At 44.5% G+C, this 12,544-nt stretch overlaps 2 protein-coding genes across 10 annotated transcripts in view; one reads left to right on the top strand and one right to left on the bottom strand.

Annotated features, from left to right (window-relative positions):
• The window catches only part of SIK2 (salt inducible kinase 2), a 128,407-nt gene that overhangs the window by 108,070 nt on the left and 7,793 nt on the right, over window positions 1-12,544 (top strand). For both annotated transcript variants that reach the window (NM_015191.3, XM_017017417.2), the window contains exons 9-14: window positions 1,693-1,857; window positions 9,257-9,485; window positions 9,960-10,244; window positions 10,381-10,544; window positions 11,312-11,422; window positions 12,147-12,238. In NM_015191.3, the coding sequence (NP_056006.1) occupies window positions 1,693-1,857; window positions 9,257-9,485; window positions 9,960-10,244; window positions 10,381-10,544; window positions 11,312-11,422; window positions 12,147-12,238 (1,046 nt within the window). The remainder of the gene's footprint in view (window positions 1-1,692; window positions 1,858-9,256; window positions 9,486-9,959; window positions 10,245-10,380; window positions 10,545-11,311; window positions 11,423-12,146; window positions 12,239-12,544) is intronic.
• The window catches only part of PPP2R1B (protein phosphatase 2 scaffold subunit Abeta), a 78,390-nt gene that overhangs the window by 22,519 nt on the left and 43,327 nt on the right, over window positions 1-12,544 (bottom strand). The window lies entirely within an intron of this gene.

Consider the following 12,544-nt stretch of genomic DNA (forward strand, 5'->3'; position numbering starts at 1 on the left):
AAATCATCAATCCAAGATTCTAACTAGGAACCGTTAGTATTTGAGAACGAGACTGCATTCATTTTGCAAACTAATTCTTACATTCTTGTGATCATTTGAAGGCTTTAGGAAGAAGGGGAAAGGAGGAATTAATGTTACTGAGTTAAGGACATTGCATGTTACCTTTTACAGTCCTGACTTCACTGTGAAGTTGGCATTGTGCTCTCACAGTTGAAGAAGATAAGTTTCAGAGAGGTTAGGAAACCTGATTAAGGTCACACAATTTGTACGTGATGGAGCCAGGAATCAAACTCAGGTCTTGGTAGAGGAGAAGCTAGAATCTCATACCATTTTGTCCCTTTGATTTGTTTGAGTTTAAAATTCACCATCCTGTATCCCTTGAAATAACTATAGCCGGAAAAATACAGGCTGTCCTTCTGCCTTTCATAGTCTAGTATGATGATTGTTTTCTCAGATGTGGTGCAGTGCCTGTTGTATTCAAAACACATCTAATAAATTATTCTGGTAGTTTTGAAGGGATGGTGATGAAAGGATCATTCAGCAGCTTCATCTTTAAAATCAATTTTTGCCAATTGTCATAAGGAAAAATTCTCTTTTAAATGATTTTTTTTTTTTTTTGAGACGGAGTCTTGCTCTGTTGCCCAGGCTGGAGTGCAGTGGCGGGATCTTGGCTCACTGCAAGCTCCGCCTCCCGGGTTCACACCATTCTCCTGCCTCAGCCTCCCAAGTAGCTGGGACTACAGGCACCCGCCACCACACCCAGCTAATTTTTTTTTGTATTTTTAGTAGAGACGGGGTTTCACCATGTTAGCCAGGATGGTCTCGATCTCCTGATCTCATGATCCGCCTGCCTCGGCCTCCCAAAGTGCTGGGATTACAGGCATGAGCCACCGCGCCTGGCCTTAAATGATTTTTTAAAAGAAGCATTTGTAATGCTTGTTTCCCTAGAGTAGTTAACAAACGAGACGTGAGAACAGACTTCAAACCATCAGGAGCTTTCTATAGTGGGTTGACTTCAAAAACATAGCTTGCAGTAAGCGTAGCTTGCAGTAAGCTTCTCTCCTTCCACTGGGCCAGCAGGCTGAGTCCAGGCTGTGCATCTCCTTGAAGGAAGGAAGATGTTCCTGTCACCCCATGTGACTGCTGCTTCTCTTTCTTCCTCTTCGCATACACCCTTACCAATAAATATTTACCATCTCACCTACACCAAAAAGGCGGGTAGGGCAGGCAGAGACACAGCACTGACTCCAGCGTCCCTTGTGTTGTAGTTACTTGTGGGTGTGTATATATCTGTCCCTGGTTTAATTTTGAGCTCCTAAGATTTTTCTATTCTTTATCTGTCTGGGTATTATATTTAAAGAAAGAGACAAATATGTTTGTTGAATTGAACGAGGAACATTCTTGATTCCTCACAAAAGCTAGCTTTCTCGTCACCTGCGTGAAAGTCAAGCATCCCCTCATGAGGCAGAAATGAAATTCTGTACGACCTCTTTCAGAGTAACCGATTGCTGAGTCTGCTTCAGATCACTGTCTGCACCATGTATATATTTCACTAAATCTTTCTGGAGTTTCCAATAAATAAATATTCATTCTTTAATTGCCACAGGAAGAATTATTTTATTCTTAGAACTTTGTGTATTTATAGAGAAGGTATTCATGTTCCCAAACTGTCTGTTCTTGCCATATTTACAGGCACAGACTGTGGGGCTCCCAGTGACCATGCATTCACCGAACATGAGGCTGCTGCGATCTGCCCTCCTCCCCCAGGCATCCAACGTGGAGGCCTTTTCATTTCCAGCATCTGGCTGTCAGGCGGAAGCTGCATTCATGGAAGAAGAGTGTGTGGACACTCCAAAGGTACGGCTATGTTTGAGAGTCTCAGAACTGGCAGTTTGGCGAGAGATTTCAGTTTGGTCCACAAGTGTTGTACTTTGGCTTTATTGAACTTTATCATTTCGTTAAGTCACTCAGGAGTGATGCTTTTGTGGAGAAAAACCTTAGAACAGTGTCCAGGCTCAACTCTTGTCAGTGTTTATCATTATGACCAGTATGACCATTACGTAATTTGTCAGACCTCGTGGACTTCTGAAAAGTCCTCCCTGTCTTTCTCGCTCACTAATTCCTTCTCTCTTCAAGTTTCCAGATCTCTCACAAGTGTTTGGTTTGTTTGTTTGTTTGTTTTTTCCCTAACAAATTAATGCTGAAAACAAAAAAATTAACTTTCATGCCAAATTGGGCTTTATTTGATTACTATTGCTGCTCTTCTGCATAGGTACCTCAGGTACAAAATGATGGGCCGTCTTTTGTGATCAGTTATACATGTGTTTTTGTCCAATTTGGAAATGTTTAAAAGTTAATGTGCTGGGCCAGGCACAGTGGCTCAAGCCTGTAATCCCAGCACTTTGGGAGGCCGAGGCGGGCAGATTGCCTGAGCTCAGGAGTTCCAGACCACCTTGGGCAACATGGTGAAACTCCATCTCTACTAAAATACAAAAAATTAGCCAGGCGTGGTGGTACACACCTGTAATCTGAGCTACTCAGGAGGCTGAGGCACGAGAATGTCTTGAGCCCAGGGGGCCGAGGTGGCAGTGAGCCGAGATCACAGCACCACACTCCAGCCTGGGTGACAGAGTGAGACTCCATCTCAAAAAATTAATAAATTAATAAAAATAAAAGTTAGTATGTGGAATGAAGTTGGCATTTAGGATACAGAAGATGACAGCTTCTCTCATTCATAGATGTCTCTTTAACTTCCAATGTGTATTATATATACTTAGCATAAGCGATGTATAGAAGATCATAATAATGGGTAGTAGAGTGTCATAGAAAACACAGGTCTTGGAGCGTGTTCAAAATAGACCTCCTCTTAGTGTGAACTTGGGCCACGTAACAAAACTCTTTGAACCTCAGTTTTCTCTTATATAAAAGGAGAACACCAACTTTATGAGACTATTATGAGGATTAATTGAGATAATGTGTGTGAGGTTTGGGACAGATTATAGATAATAAATAATGGTTTCCTGTCTTTTTAGCCTCTTTAGATAATAAAAAGATGAGTGAGACATGAACTCTGCCTCTCCAGAGTCCACTATAGCCTAGCAGAAGAAACATTATACATACTGAAAGACAGCGCCAGGTGCTGAATAAATTGATAAAAGATAAAATATGGGCCGGGCATGGTGGCTTACGCCTGTAATCGCAGCACTTTGGGAGGCCAAGGCGGACAGATCATGACGTCAGGAGTTCAAGACCAGCGTGGCCAACATGGCGAAACTCCGTCTCTACTAAAAATACAAAAATTAGCTTGGGGAGGTTGCGGGCGCCTGTAATCCCAGCTACTCGGGAGGCTGAGGCAAGAGAATTGCTTGAACCCAGGAAGTGGAGGTTGCAGTGAGCCGAGATCGTGCCATTGCATGCCAGCCCAGGCGACAGTGCAAGACTGCATCTCAAAAAAAAAATAAATAAAATATGATCAGTCCTTTAAGGAAGTATAAATCAGAACGAGGCAGGGGAAGTTGCTTTTAGCTGTTTGATCAGGAAAGTCCGGTTTAACTGTCAGAACTGAGGATTGAAAGACGGGTAGACCCAGGACAGGTGGCTGGAAACCGGGGGTGAGGAGTGATGTCTACAGTGGAGACAAGACTGAAAAAGCAAGTACTAGGGAAGCCTAAGTCCATCTCCATAGAGAAGGGTTCAGATGGTCTGAGGAAAAGGGCACATGCAGGGAAGCTGTGTGAAATAAAGATGGAGGAGGTTAGCATTAAATGGCAAGCCAAGAAATTTAGATGTTTTCCCTAAGCGAGTGCTTTCAATATGGGGATAGGGTTTGGTATCAGTTGAAACAACTGAAGGAACAGTTGTTAGGGGAGTAGGAAACTGCTGAAGATATTTGAGCAAGGAAGCTCTGGGATCCATGTTGCACATCAGAAAGTTAGCCTGCATATCACTGTGTGTGCCCCGGTGCAGGGGAGAAACTGGTGACCAGGAAGACAGGTTAGAGCACGTGTCCAGGAGGGAGGTGATGAGGCCTGAACTAGAATAGTGGCAGATAGAGATGGTGCAGATAAAATTGATAGACTATTAAGGTCTAGGGAGAAGTCCAAACCAGTAACAAGATTTTGAGCCTAGATGGAGGGTGAGAGCCATTTTCAGAAATGGAGAACTAAAGGCAGGGCAGATTCAAGAAGGCCGACCATGAGTTCAGCCAAGCGTAGCCCACAACAGGCAGCTCAGTGCGAGGCTGCCACAAGCCAGTGTTGACCGAAAGGATTTAGTGTCTGGGCCCCTAAGGATGAGTCCACTGCCTAGGGACAGTCTTTCTTCTCTGTCTGTGGTTGCTACTACAGTCCCACTCAGAAAGTTAGACATAAATTAAGGCAGCATCATTCATTTATTTTAAAGATGTAATTCCCTCAAAAGAATTAAAATGCAGTTGACTAAAGGCTTGTCTGTGAGGGCATCAGGCCTAAAACACAGATTGGGCACTGACTGCTGTATTATATAGGGCAAGCTATTTTTAAAGCTTGTGATTGTTACTGTAACCAGAAAACAGGCAGGAAATGAATGATTTTGCAAAAGATATAGACAGGAGCTAGATGGTATATTTGCATTTGTAGGAAGAGCAGTGCCACGCTGGAGCTGGTCACCCACACTGGCAATGCCATGCTGGCACTCAGTCAGGCCATAGACATCCTCCGGGCTTCTTTGTGGACCGTTTTATTTATGTCAGCAAAAACGCTTGTCCCTCTTCCCTCCCTAAGACCTCTTTCTTGGGGCCCATAAATAAGTGCACACACACACACAGAAAAACTTATCAGAGACACAGTTCCCTTTTTATTGAGACTGCCTCATGTGCATTTACTGTAACACCCATTTGTTGTTTTCTGATTGATGCTTCATTGCTGCATGTATTGATACTTGCATTTCTCCTCTCAACTGGGGACAGGTATTGTGCATCTCAAAGAGACTTCAGCTCTCCTTCCCTCCCAGAAATCTTCAGTGCTTAAAATTGTCAGTAAAATCCCTTGGGGAGTCTGAATGGAAACTTTGGTTTGCAGTTTCAAAAAAATATTGCCTTTCTGAGATAGTTGCCCAACTCTAGATAAGAATGGTTGGATCAGGTGTTCCAAACAGGAACTGAGATCCACAGATGACATGGGGGCCATATGGGAGGGCAGATGCATAAACCTTGTAGAATAAATCTACTTCAAGTATCTCTTTTTAATAAGGAATTTTATATACATACATATACACGCACACTTGAGTCATTTTTAGCTTTTTTTTTTTTTTTTTTTTTTTTTGAGATGGAGTATCACTCTTGTCACCCAGGCTGGAGTGCAGTGACACGATCTCAGCTCATTGCAACCTCCGCCCCCCGGGTTCAAGCGATTCTCCTGCCTCAGACTCCTGAGTAGCTGGGAGTACAGGCGCCTGCCACCACACCCAGCTAAGTTCTGTACTTTTAGTAGAGATGGGGTTTTGCCATGTTGGCCAGGCTGGTCTCGAACTCCTGTCCTCAGGTGATCTGCCCGCCTTGGCCTCCCAAAGTACTGGGATTACAGGCATGAGCCACCATGCCCAGCCCATTTTTAGCATTTTTATTTGAAATGTAATAAAAGGATTTTCCGAATTACCCCCTTCATAGCTGGATAGCAGAAGGGAACTGTGAGGGTAGACCCTGAAAATGCAGACACAGTGGAGGTGTTTCGTGTCTACTTACATTTTTAATAACTTTTTTTATGACAAAGGTAGTACACACAAGGTCTGAAAAGGATATACATCTGGCCAGGTGCGGTGGCTTACACCTGTAATCCAGCACTTTGGGAGGCTGGGTGGATCACCTGAGGTCAGGAGTTCAAGAACAGCCTGGCCAACATGGCAAAACCCCAACTCTACTAAAAATACAAAAATTAGCCAGGCATGGTGGTGCGTGCCTGTAATCCCAGCTACTGAGGAGGCTGAGGCAGGAGAATTGCTTGAACCTGGGAGATGGAGGTTGCAGTGAGCCCAGATTGCACCACTGCGCTCCAGCCTGGGCGACAGAGTGAGACTCTGTCTCACCAAAAAAAGAAAAAAGAAGAAGAAAAATCAGATCAATGAAAAATCAAGTCATTGTTTTCTAGCTGTCCCAGGATAAAATCGAACTCAGCAAATATTTTGTAATAAAAGACATAATTCCTCTTGTAGTCTAGATGAGAAAATAAATGTATAAACTGACAATTTAAGTAAAACCGTAAATTCAGGGGTACTGCCGGGTATTTTGTGTGACTCAGTAAAAATATTAAGGATAAAAAAAGAACCTGCATGAAAAGAAACACTGAACAGACAACCCACAGAATGAGAGAACATTTTTGCAATCTATCCATCTGACAAAGGTCTAATATCCAGCCCATAAGGAACTTAAACAAATTTACAAGAAAAATCCCCATTAAAAAGTGGGCAAAGGACAAGAACAGACACTTCTGAAAAGAAGACCTCATACAGCCAACAAACATATGAAAAAAAGCTCAACAGCGGCCGGGTGTGGTGGCTCACGCCCGTAATCCCAGCACTTTGGGAGGCTGAGGCAGGCGGATCACGAGGTCAGGAGATCGAGACCATCCTGGCTAACATGGTGAAACCCCATCTCTACTAAAAATGCAAGAAAAATTAGCCGGGCGTGGTGATGGGCGCCTGTAGTCCCAGCTACTCGGGAGGCTGAGGCAGGAGAATGGCGTGAACCTGGGAGGCAGAGCTTGCAGTGAGCTGAGATCTCACCACTGCACTCCAGAGCCTGGGCGACAGAGCGAGACTCCGTCTCAAAAAAAAAAAAAAAAAAAAAAAAAAGCTCAACATGACTGATCATTAGAGAAATGCAAATCAAAACCACAATGAGATACTATCTCATGCCAGTCAGAATGGCAATTATTAAAAAGTCAACAACAACAGATACTGGCCTGGTTGCAGAGAGAAAGGAACACTTTTACACTGTTAGTGGGAGTGTAAATTAGTTCAACCATTGTGGAAGACAGTGTGGCAATTCCTCAAGGATCTAGAGGCAGAAATACCATTTGACCCAGCAATCCCATTACTGGGTATATACCCAAAGGAATGTAAATCATTCTATTATAAAGATACATGCATGAGTCTGCTCGTTGCAGCTCTATTCACAACAGCAAAGACATGGAATCAACCCAAATGCCCATCAGTGATAGACTGGATAAAGAAAATGTGGTACATATACACCATGGAATACCATGCATACATAGAAAGGAATGAGATCATGTCCTTTGCAGGGACATGAATGGAGCTGGAAGCCATTATCCTCAGCTGAACAGAAAACCAAACACCACATGTTCTCACGTATAAGTAGGAGTTGAATGGACACATGGAGGGGAACAACACACACTGGGGCCTGTTAGGGGGGCAATGGGAGGGAGAGCATCAGGAAGAATAGCTGATGCATGCAGGGCTTAATACCTAGGTGATAGGTTGACAGGTGCAGCAAACCACCATGACACACGTTTACCTATGTAACAAACCTGCACATCCTGCACACGTACCCTGGAACTTAAAAATTGAAGAAAAAAAAAGAACTTGCTTATATGGCTTATCCTATAAGAAATGTCTGGTAAAATTTTGACGGAGGCCGTAAGTGTAAGGATGCTCAATAGATAATTAATTAATGATCTTCTTTTCTCTGTTGGCTTATTCATTTCTAAACCATTCTTGGCTAGTTTTAGAAAATTGTATTAGTAGAGAGTTAAGGAGCTTAGAGGTATGAATGTAAGTTCTCAAACAGCCATTCTTTCTTGCAAGGAAACTATTAAGTTTAGTCAAAAAGGAAAGTTTATCTGGGGAAGGACCAAGGAGAGAGCAAGAGTTGCTGGCCAGGTTTCAGAGTTTTGCTTTCTGCTGCCATGGGGAAGATTGGCCAGTGTGGAAAGGAAGCATTTACCACTCTTCCTCTTAAATGACCGCTCATCGCTTTAAAACCCTGTAATGCATTAGCCACCTTACCCGAGTGAGGGCTATAGCCCAGAATGGATTTTATGGAATAACCTTCCCCTCCCTGCAGCAAACAAAGATCTGAGTCACCCTAGTCTCCTTCTCCAAATAAAGGGCCTCGCAGCGCCTTCAGATTGGCTGCCATAAGAGGAAAGTTTCCTGTGTGTCTGGTAAAGGGAAACCCCACACCACCTCTCACATACATGAGCTTCTCCTGCTTCCAAAGGAAACAGTAGCTCTACCCAGTGTTTTCCAGGTGAAAGTACTGCTTAGAACTCAGCGTCTTATGACTGGCTGTTCCTGAGCAGCTATTCATAGGAGAAAATGGATTGATTTCCACGGGGGAATAGTTAAGGTAATGAGGTAAATAATTACCTCCTCACAGGGGCCTTTACCAGCCAGAACTTGCAACCACAACCCCCATGCCAGTATGCTGTTCTGCCTGCCATTAGGCAGTGTGCGTGGCAACTGCATGGGAAGGGCCAATGCTTGCGGGGAGCTGTGCTGCGCTCACCCCTGTGGGATAGGAACCATCGATAACGTATATGTTGCTGGAGGAGACAAAATTCAGTGCACTGGGGCTTATTAGCCTCTGCTGGAATTTTGGGCCAGTGAGCCCTTTGTTATTCTACAATGGGAGGCTTTGGCTGTCTGCCATTTGAATTTTTTTCAATCCTTTTTGTGGTATCAGTCTGTCTATATAGAATTCTTACTTTCCATTCCCCAGGCATATAGAACCAATTAAAGACTAAATCAAATGGGCAGGTACTTAAATTTTGAACATAAAAGTCTTTCTAAAACCTTCCATTATGTTTATGGTTGAAAAAATAGAAGAATCTTGGTGACTACCCCTTTTTTTTTTTTTTTTTTTAGCAATGAGCCAAGTAGTTAAAAAAAAAAAAACAACTCATCTTCCCCCTCTTCATTTCCCTTATTTAAAAAAAAATAATAACTGGTAGTCCTCAAACTAATATACCCCTGTTCTTCTGGAAACCACTAAAAAAGTTGTTTATTGTAATAATGATGACTCAGAGAAACCTGGGCAGCAGTGCCAGTTTGGGTCATCATGGGCTTCTGTCTCAGAGTTCTGAGTCCTGCAGTTGACTTGCCTTCACTTCTAATCTATGTGTTGTCATGCATAATAAATATGTGCATGTTTAAATATTTTACTTAATTTCTAGTTCGCCACAAGTCTTGACATGTTTTCCTTTGTGGATTTTTCTGTCTCAGCAGTGCAGAAACTGAGTTTCCTCTCTCCCCTGGCGTTTAGGTCAATGGCTGTCTGCTTGACCCTGTGCCTCCTGTCCTGGTGCGGAAGGGATGCCAGTCACTGCCCAGCAACATGATGGAGACCTCCATTGACGAAGGGCTGGAGACAGAAGGAGAGGCCGAGGAAGACCCCGCTCATGCCTTTGAGGCATTTCAGTCCACACGCAGCGGGCAGAGACGGCACACTCTGTCAGAAGTGACCAATCAACTGGTCGTGATGCCTGGGGCAGGTACGGTAGAGGAGCGACACTAGCTTGAGTCTTCATGGCATCATGTCATACTCCAATTGCCAACAAGTGGTCACGATGCCAGCCAACACCTAAAATTGAGTCGATAGCTTATTCCTTTATGGATTAGATTCAGCAGGTATAGCAGACACAGCCTGGCAGCAGCTATCAAAGGTGAATTGAAATGTCTCTGAGTTGGCTCCCATAGTCCCCAGGATTCATCTGGGTGCCACGTGATTGATCAGGGACTCTGGCTCTTTTGGACTGGCTGAGATCTTACAGATGCCACTTCTGGAGTGTTTTCCCCACTAAACTTGAAGATGACTAAATTGGCCAGTAAAAGGGCTCTGAAAAGATGTTTTGATTGGAAATTAAGGACATGGTAGCTGTCAAAACTCAAGCTGGTTATGCTTTGTACCCTATGTTCCAAGGAGATGCTATTGCTGTTGGTTTTATCTGTTCTGTTTTCTCTTAAAGGGAAAATTTTCTCCATGAATGACAGCCCCTCCCTTGACAGTGTGGACTCTGAGTATGATATGGGGTCTGTTCAGAGGGACCTGAACTTTCTGGAAGACAACCCTTCCCTTAAGGACATCATGTTAGCCAATCAGCCTTCACCCCGCATGACATCTCCCTTCATAAGCCTGAGACCTACCAACCCAGCCATGCAGGCTCTGAGCTCCCAGAAACGAGAGGTCCACAACAGGTCTCCAGTGAGCTTCAGAGAGGGCCGCAGAGCATCAGATACCTCCCTCACCCAGGGTGAGCACTTCCTCCTCTGCTTTTTGAAACTCGCGTCGTAGGAGAGCAGTTTCTTGCCATGTTGGTGTGGTCACCTGTGGTCACTGAAAGGCCTTGTATTTTAGTTAAACTGTTTGGTCTTGGTGCTTTCTTTCAGGAATTGTAGCATTTAGACAACATCTTCAGAATCTGGCTAGAACCAAAGGAATTCTAGAGTTGAACAAAGTGCAGTTGTTGTATGAACAAATAGGACCGGAGGCAGACCCTAACCTGGCGCCGGCGGCTCCTCAGCTCCAGGACCTTGCTAGCAGCTGCCCTCAGGTGGGTACCTTGGGCCCTTCCCTCAATGGCTCTGTGAGGATGAGGTGTGAGTTTGTCCTGAAGATGGTCATTTTCACTTAGAGGATTTCCTCCAGTCCTGGAGCAAACAGGCTGTTTGGGAAAACCCACAGCTTCTTTGCCTTGTTGCTGCCACCTGCCACTGACGGGTTCAACCCATCCACGCTGCTTCCAAGTGATCAATACCAGATGGAGGCCTGGACACTCTCAAGCTGTTTTTGGCTCACAGGGCAGAGTACAGATGAGTGACCTCTTACAGTCGCCCTTGAACTCCCCTTCTCCTGCCACACACACACCCAAATGAAAAATACACAAATGAACTACACCCAAATGAGAAGCTTCTCACCACTACTTTTGATGTGGTATCACTTTAGTAAATACTACAAGTGGATTATTCATACTAAAAATACAATAAATACTGCTACTTACCTGATTTTATTTTGAGCCTATTTTCAGTGCATCCAAGAGGATTATAGTTCGAGGCCCACATGAAGGCCATAGCCTCCTGGTGACACCAAGAGTCTTTGCTCTAGTACTGACTAGGTAATTGTTAACTAGAGATAATACATGCATAAATGTTCTGCAGAGTAATGAGCCCTCAGCCTACTGGCTCTGTAAAAGCTTTGAGTATTAATAAGTCTCAGTGGAGTTGGTATTCCTATTGGACATTGCAAAGGTGCTTCAGCTAAGAACTGAGACGTTTTTCCCCATGGGGAATTGAAAATTGTTTCCACCCCCTTGCTCCTCAGGAAGAAGTTTCTCAGCAGCAGGAAAGCGTCTCCACTCTCCCTGCCAGCGTGCATCCCCAGCTGTCCCCACGGCAGAGCCTGGAGACCCAGTACCTGCAGCACAGACTCCAGGTGGGTCCTTCTCCTTGCGAGTCCACCTCACTCTGCTCATCCAGAATCTGTTCTTCTGCAAAGCAGAAACGTGTTTTGCCTGGCATTTATTTAGGGTAGCTGCTTGATTCCTTATAGGCAAGTAGCTTTGACTCTGTACTTGGAGTTTCTAGAAACGTGTTCAGATCTAGCTTTGTGCTGTGTGTTGGTGGTGGGAAAGGCTTTGTCCTCAAGCCCCACGAAAGGATATGCCACTGAGGGGTGGGAACGGGAGACCTGGCTTCTTTCTTTCTAATTGTATTCCTCTTAATGAGTAACAAATAAAATGAAAACCTTAAGTCTGCAGAATTTCTACATGGGCTTTCTATGTTGGTGCATAAAAATCTTAAAAAGCGATAAAGCATAGATCCCGTAAAGGATGAATCATTCATTCAGCGGGTGCTGGGGCCTTTGCTCTCAAGATCTAACTCCACCTTTCTCATTGCTTTTTAATGTCCATGAGCCTCACAGTCCTAGTGGACTTTTGGAAATGGAGTGGAAAAAGGAAGTAGGTGAGGTCAGAGATGGCCCAGGCCTGCGGGCCCGATGCTCTTTCAGGGTCTCAGGGAGTAAATGTCAGTCCCTTCACCCCGTGTGGATTCTGTAGAATGCAGTTAGATTCATCCTGCAGGCAGAAGCACATCTGATGACTGCATCCTAGGTGACAGCACATTGTCACGCTCATGTTGTTTTTCTGCTCTTCCAGAAGCCCAGCCTTCTGTCAAAGGCCCAGAACACCTGTCAGCTTTATTGCAAAGAACCACCGCGGAGCCTTGAGCAGCAGCTGCAGGAACATAGGTGAGAAGGGGACTTTGGCCAAAGAAGTTGCTTCCTTTTCTGGAAGCCTTGAGAACACTGAATGTGTTGTCCTTTTCCTCTCACATTCGCCACTACTAGGAAAATAGGTTTTCTGCGTGTGTCACAGGCCCTCTGAGCACGATTACTAAGAGGATATCTCAGTATCCATGGAGGATGGTCCTGTCAGGCACTGGCAGCCCCACAGTGTACTTTGTTTTCCTTTTCTTCTAGCGTTTCCTCTTTGGGGTATGACTAGCTCCAAGCTTTCACAGTCAGTGGCCCAAAGTATGGAGGTGGGGTAGGCGG

Source organism: Homo sapiens, chromosome 11 (genome assembly GCF_000001405.40).
Source record: "Homo sapiens chromosome 11, GRCh38.p14 Primary Assembly".
Lineage (NCBI taxonomy): Eukaryota > Metazoa > Chordata > Mammalia > Primates > Hominidae > Homo > Homo sapiens.